This window comes from Homo sapiens, chromosome 6 (genome assembly GCF_000001405.40).
Source record: "Homo sapiens chromosome 6, GRCh38.p14 Primary Assembly".
Classification (NCBI taxonomy): domain Eukaryota; kingdom Metazoa; phylum Chordata; class Mammalia; order Primates; family Hominidae; genus Homo; species Homo sapiens.
In genome coordinates, this window is record NC_000006.12 from 1,184,640 (window position 1) to 1,191,604 (window position 6,965).

The 6,965-nt window shown below is 43.0% G+C and overlaps 1 non-coding gene across 1 annotated transcript; it reads left to right on the forward strand.

Moving 5' to 3' along the window:
• Positions 1–1,878: 1,878 nt before the first annotated feature.
• On the forward strand, positions 1,879–1,981 carry LOC124901532 (small nucleolar RNA U13). The gene has a single exon (XR_007059963.1). It is a non-coding gene; the product is annotated as a small nucleolar RNA U13 (small nucleolar RNA).
• Positions 1,982–6,965: the final 4,984 nt, after the last annotated feature.

The following is a 6,965-nucleotide window of genomic DNA, read 5'->3' on the forward strand; positions in this document are numbered from 1 at the left end:
CATGGATTACTCATCTTTGTATCTATCACCTAGTAGAGTCCATGCAATAATAGGTGGTCAATAAAAGTTTGTGGAATGAATTAATCTAGAAAAGAAGAAAGGAAAGCAAAAAGGGACACCATACATCGGGGAGAGTTTGTTTATAGGCACATTTAACAGTTGTGAGACACAGATGATCTATTATGTTAACAATTGTGAGAGACAGATGATCTGTTATGTTTTCAGAGTTTGGGACTTCAACAGGGAACTAAGAGGAATAAAAGGAAGCCTGATCTCAACGATTTAAATAACATAAAGATCATAACTGAAATATTTAATTGCCTAAAGGGACAAATGGATTCATCAGCTGAAGGGTAAACTAATCCGTAAATATCCCAGGTCTAACAGTGTCTGGCATAAAGCCTTGGTGAAAATGGGCACACCCTGCACTGCACTCTGGTGATAACCCTTAACAAAAAGTGACACCAGCCTGCTGGAGCTTTCCTCCATGCACAACAACTTCAGCCAGGGAGAAGCAGTGGTAAAAATAATAATCATGAAAGATAAATACATAATGGATAAATGGATGGATGAAAAGATAGGCAGTGGATGGATAGATAAGATAGAATAAATAGATGATTGGTAAGTAGATGATGGATAGATGATAGATGAAATTGAATAGATACATGATTGATAGATGATGGACAGATAAATGATGGATAAATGATAGATAATAGATGATAGATACAGAGATCAAATAGAATAAATAGATGATTGATAAATAGACGATGTATAGATAAATGATAGGTGATAGACAGATGATAGATAATAGATGAAATAGATAGGCAATACATAGATGATAGAAAGACAGATGGATAGACAGACAGACAGACAGACAGACAGACAGACAGACAGACAGACAGACAGGCTGGCCATAGCTGTTTTGCTGGTGAAGCTGCAGTGGCAGAACACTGTTGCAAAAATAAATGCAGGCAAAAAATGTGGACATTTGGAAGGTGGAAGCCAATGGACTGTCAGTGGGATCTGCTAAAAAGAAATTTATGGTCTGATCCCACAGATGGTGATATCTGTGGAGGACCAGCCACCTTGTGCAAAAGCTGGGAAGAATGAGAGGAGAAACTAGACAAGAACTAAACAAGTGAAGAGAACAACAGAAGATGGTAAAGAAGAGGATCTAAGGCAATAGCTGCTAAGGTGTTGACCATTAGCAAAACCAGTGCAGAGGGAGAAGATACATTGACACTGAAATTAGAGAAGAGAATGCATTAGTCCCAAAGATACAGAAGCTGAAACAGCCCAATACTCAGGACTTGCACTTCTGGCCATGATGGAGTAACATGGATCAGATTCACCCTCTTACCTTAAAAAACAACAACAAATGGAAATAATTTTAAATAATTTCAGACACTGGAAAAGAGGCAGCAGAGGACAGAGATTCCTGAGAAAAGGGGGAACAAGCAAGGTGAGCCCTGAGATGCCCCGGCTTACCAGGTGGACAGCGTTTTCAGTTAAGTGATGGTGCAAAAAGATGGAATCTAAACAAAGCCTACTGGTTTATGGACACAAGTGAGAATTCAGGGAGACACTCTGGCTAACCCCGTAGAGGAGAGTAATGGAGGAAAGAGAGCTTCACAGGGAAGAGAGCTGCACAGAGAGACCTGCACAGAAGGAGAGTCTGGAGATGGAAAGGGGGTTCCTCTACTCTTCAGCTGAGTACTGGTCAGGGTGTGGATGTGAAGAAGCTGCACCCATCAGGAGTGAGTGGGTGGAATCATCCCTGAGCTAGGGGCAAGGAACTTTGATGTCCCCATAGCAGAGTGGAGAAATCTTGTAATACATGGTCGTGCCCTCAAAAGGAAAAAAGTACCCCTAGACCAGGTTCTTTTGTGGTTCATAAGTGTGATGATTGGGTTTTTTGCTCATGTGTGAGATGTGCCTCCCTCAAACCTCGTTATGATGTCGGCACATCACCCATCTGACTTGGAAAAAAAAAAATCCCTGCACCAAAGGCTGTTCTGGTTCCATCTAACCATGCTTGAAAGCAAACTTCAAAAAGATTAACTGTTTCCAAGCAACTTAAGTATGTCCCAGAACAGACCAAGAATACTTAAAAGAATACAGAAATATCTGACATCCAACAAGATAAAAATTACATCTGGCCATCCACTCAAAAATTACCAGACATGCAAAGTAGCAAGGGAACATAATGGACAATGAGCGGGAGGGAAACTGATCAACATAAACAGACCCAGAAATAACATAGATGCAGGAGTTAGTAGACAAGGACATCAAAACAGTTATAACTACATTCCATATGTTCAAGAAGGTGGAGAAAAATGTGAGCATATTAAAGATATAAAAAGATATTTTAAGAGAGCCTTAAAGTTGGGAGAGGAGCACCTCAAAGCTTGAGGTATCTCTGATATGTAAAAAGAAAGCAGCAACATCCACTTTCCTTATCTGGTGTGATCATACCAGGCACTTTCCAAACAAGTAGACTTTTGAGAATGAAAGGGGTGCTGTTAATAATGAGCTTGGGACCATCAGCATAAACAGAGACTGCCCCGGGTTGACTGTGACATATGATGGGGCCAACATTTCCTCCCAAAGCTTAGCAATATTTAACAGTGTGTAGGACATGAACATCAACAACAGCTGACATTATGGTTTCAGTCCTTAAAGGGATGGCCTCAGCCTCTGGGAACTCTCAGCCATGCCTACTAATGCACACCACATATCTCTCCAAAATAAGTTTGTCATTTGCAGTCCTCTCCATTTGTCCCGTGGCTGACTTTGACCTCTCTCTACTGTGTTGTGCCTGACTCTTTCACTGAGAGCCTCAGGCTCAGATTTCACAATCCTTGTCCCAATCAAACTTAGCTGACTCTAGTCTCAACCCCACAGGACCATGCTGCCTACCACTCAACAGGAGCTAAAATGAAAAAGTTGTGAAGGACTTAATGAGTTACTGCTCCTTGGTAGGGAACTTATAGTAAAGCTACTGCTAGCCTCCTGGCTTTGCACGACAGCCCACCAGTTACACCAAACCAAAGTTTGCCTAAGTATTGGCAAATCCCCTGTCAAGTGGTATCTGTAAATACTCTGAATTATTTGTCCAAGTGAGTCAAAATTATTCAGGGTGCCAAAGAGAAAGACGATCTCTTGCAAGGTAAGCAACAAGTCTCGCGAAATCTTCAAGTCCCGATCCAGTGGGGAGAAATTTCCGTCCAATGACAGAGTGAAAAGACACTGGGTGTGTTGGGGACTGGAGTGCCTCCCTTTATTTCCACAAGCCTCTGCTCCTGTGAATAATGCAATGATCACAGATACTGACTTCATGTTATGACCTGATTGAAACCCAGACCCAAACCTGTCCTGGAGCATGTGATAAACCAGATGAGCCTGGAGTTCAGTTGTCACCACCTTCTCAAACACAGGCATCTTAATTAAAAAATTATAAGCTATACTTTTGCCAAGGATTCAGATGAAACATCAAAAGGGTAGAAAAGGGTGTCTTTCTTTCAGTTAAAGGACAGGCCCAAGATTGGGGGATAAGAGTGGAAAATCAGGTAGGTGAGAATCCAGAGACAGACCAAAACTGAAGCTCATCCCTAGTGAGGGGACCTTTCCCATTTTGGAGACAGATTGTGCTGTACTGATGACCATGTGCATAAACAAGCCTCTTCTCTCCACTCTTCAACCTTGTCTTTAAAAACAGGCCTGTCCCAGCATGTGGGGAAAACATACAAAGCATGTTGAACTCAGATATGAATCTGAATGCTGTGGAAAACAGCCAAAAAAGTGGCATCTTCTCCACCACTGACGATCCTTTGCATCCCTCTCCTCCTTGCAGGTAAATGAGAGCTGGAACTCAGCCTTGGCTCACAGCAGAAAACAATTCTAACCCAGGGCGCATCCACATTCGTGGGGAAATGTTCAAGTGCTTGATCATAGATGCAGGAAAAAAAAGTCTGATTTGTTGGCATCAGACCTAGTCTTTAGATGGGAAAACTAATAAACATCAACCTTGAAGACAAGAGACAAACATTTCTTCTCCAGAAATATACTGACAGTGACCTTATAGTCTTCAAACATTTGGGCCTTTAAAATAAACAGACTTTTGTAAAATATCTAATTAACAGCTAAAAGTTGTAAGTGAAGGCTGGAATATTGAGAAGATAAATAATTGGATTTCATTTATCTTCAATGCTCTAAATTTTTGCTTCTTCCACCTTTGCCTATAGGATGAACACATCCTGAGAATGCAGGCCCAGGCAGAACCAGGGACAACACAACTAGCAGACGAAGTTGAATAATGACTCTCACCCAGACCTCCCTTCACTTTGGTGCCCAGAATTTGGTCTTGTAAAAGATTCAGACATCCATGCTTCTCTAATTAGAATAGGCTTTACTTCTATAGATAAGCACAGGTAAACCAGGAGATTAGAATCTATACAATATACCTAGAACATCTTTTTAGAGCAAGTTTCACTTGAAGATTTAGGGGAAGGGGTGTTAAGAAATGTTCTTTCACTTTAAGAGCAAGTCCAGTGTTTTTAATATTGAAGTATGGATGACTTACAGGACTATGCCTAATTTGCAGGAAATTTGAATATAAAACACAAGACTTTTTGGTATTTTACTTTATGATGGGCTTTTGGGGTCCTCATCTGTAATCTTTCTGCAATACCAGCACAACCTTTCCATTTCAGTCGAGAAGTCTGGTCCACGATGTCCTAGGTAGACCGTGAAGCTCTGAAGAACATGTGCCTTGCACTTGCTCCTGGTTCAATTTGTCCATTGCTCATCATAAATCTCAGAGACACCGGAGAGAACCAAGCATCACCAACAGTGACTGATATGGTTTGGCTGTGTCCCCACCCAAATCTCATCTTGAATTGTAATCCCCATAATCCCCCCGAGTCGTGGGAGAGACCTGCTGGGAGGTAATTGAATCATGGGGGTGGTTTCCCCTATGCTGTTCTCGTGATAGTGACAGAGTTCTCACAAGACCTGATGGTTTTATAAGCGTCTGGCATTTCCCCTGCTGGCACTCTTTCTCTCCTGCTGCTCTGTGAAGAGGTGCCTCCTATCATGATTGTAAGTTTCCTGAGGCCTCTCTACTCAGGCATAACTGTGTCAATTAACCTCTTTTCTTTATAAATTACCAGACTTGGGTATTTCTTCATAGCAGCATGAGAACATATGAATACAATGACCAGTTATGGATGAGAAGTGCCCAACTGCACAATCTTATCGATTTCATACCACCAGGTCTCACAGAAATGGTACGGAGATGTCTCAAGCAAGATCAAATCAGAAAAATCATGACTCCATGAGGAGCCAGGCACAGTGACTCCCACCTGCAATCCCAGCTACTCAGGAGGCTGAGGCAGGAGAATCACTTGATCCCTAGGATTTGAAGCTGCAGTGAGTTATGATCATACCACTGCACTCCAACCTGGGTGATAGAGGGAGACTCTATCTCTTAAAAAATATATATCCATAAGGGTAGAGGTCTTTATTTTGTTCATGAACTTATCCACCAAGCACATAAAACAGTTCATGCTCTGTAAACATATGTCGAAAATTAATTCTATATGCTACTTCCCCAAACATTATTTTCTAATTATCTTCCCAAATGGCTAGTTAGATGAAAATCAGTTGTCTCTTGTACCATTCTACATTCAGAAGGAATGAAAGGTATGCTATAAGGAAAGGGGAGTGTGAGTAACTAATTTGAAGGAAAAAAGTAACCAAGGTTTTCAGTGTTTGTGGATGGATATATAGACATCTGTCCCTCTTTGAGTCATTGGGAATTTGACATCGTTTCCCAGAGCCAATAACTGTTTGTCCTGTTGGGAAGCCTCTGTCTTGCACCATCAGCCACATAGCAATCTCCTCTGCTCAGCAGTCACGCTCCCTTTCATCCACTCCTGATGAGGTCATTTCCTGCCTGGCTGAACCAGGGGCTTAGTTGAGAGTGAGCTGGCCAAGATTCAATCAGGGTAAGCCTGAAGCTGTGTGCTTGAACTGGGGAAACGCTTCAGGAGTCACAGGAGCGATCTCTTCCATGTGCGGATGGGATGCATTTAACCCTTGCCATTGACAGTGACAGCTTTAGGTCAGGATGGAAGCAAGGCTTGAGGACACAACTGTGGGCTAGAAACCAGAACACCTGGGTGCCAGTGCTGGCTTCCACGATAAATACCTGGGGCTGTTAGGAGGATCAAAGCTTTGGGCAGGAGGCAGGTGTGGGGATTCTGAGGGAAGTTTTATTTTCCTCATGTGGACAATGATGGGGTTGGAATTTATTATCTCCAAGGTCCTTTCAGCTCTAATTTAATGTTGCTCCAGGCATCTCTGAGGATTTCTGAGATAGCCTGGATACCATCTGTGCTGGTGTGGAGGTCGCTACCTCCCGTTCCAAATGCTGGCCAAGGTGACTCTCAGGTGGATTAACCAAAACCACAATTGGGGAAGAAGCTGAGGCTGAGTGCTGATGGCAGATGCCAAGAAAGTGCGACACAACCTGTCCACAACACTCTTGAAGATGCTCAGCCCGGCCATGCCTGCCAGTGTCCAGAGACACTGAGAGGGCCTGGGTGCCAGGCTGCCATGTAGGGCCGGGGAGGAGCCTACACAGGACGGTGCATCGGCAAGGAATGAGAAGTCAGAAAACTCTCCAAAGACACCTCAAAGGATTCTGGTCGGCCAACCAAGCACCAAGTGGTTTGTTTATGGGGCAGGAGAATACGTATAAGTGGATGAGGCGGGGCCTTGGGAGAAATCCACTCTGAAGTGAGCCCAGATTATAGACCATCTGGAAGAGCAGCTAAGAGCACTCTGATGAACGAAGAAAGAGAAGGCATGCCGCTAAGACACCAGCACATGTTAGAAAGGTGCAGAGGTCAGGATGGCGTGATCCTGGAGTAAGAATAAATAACCAATCAATTGAACAGAAT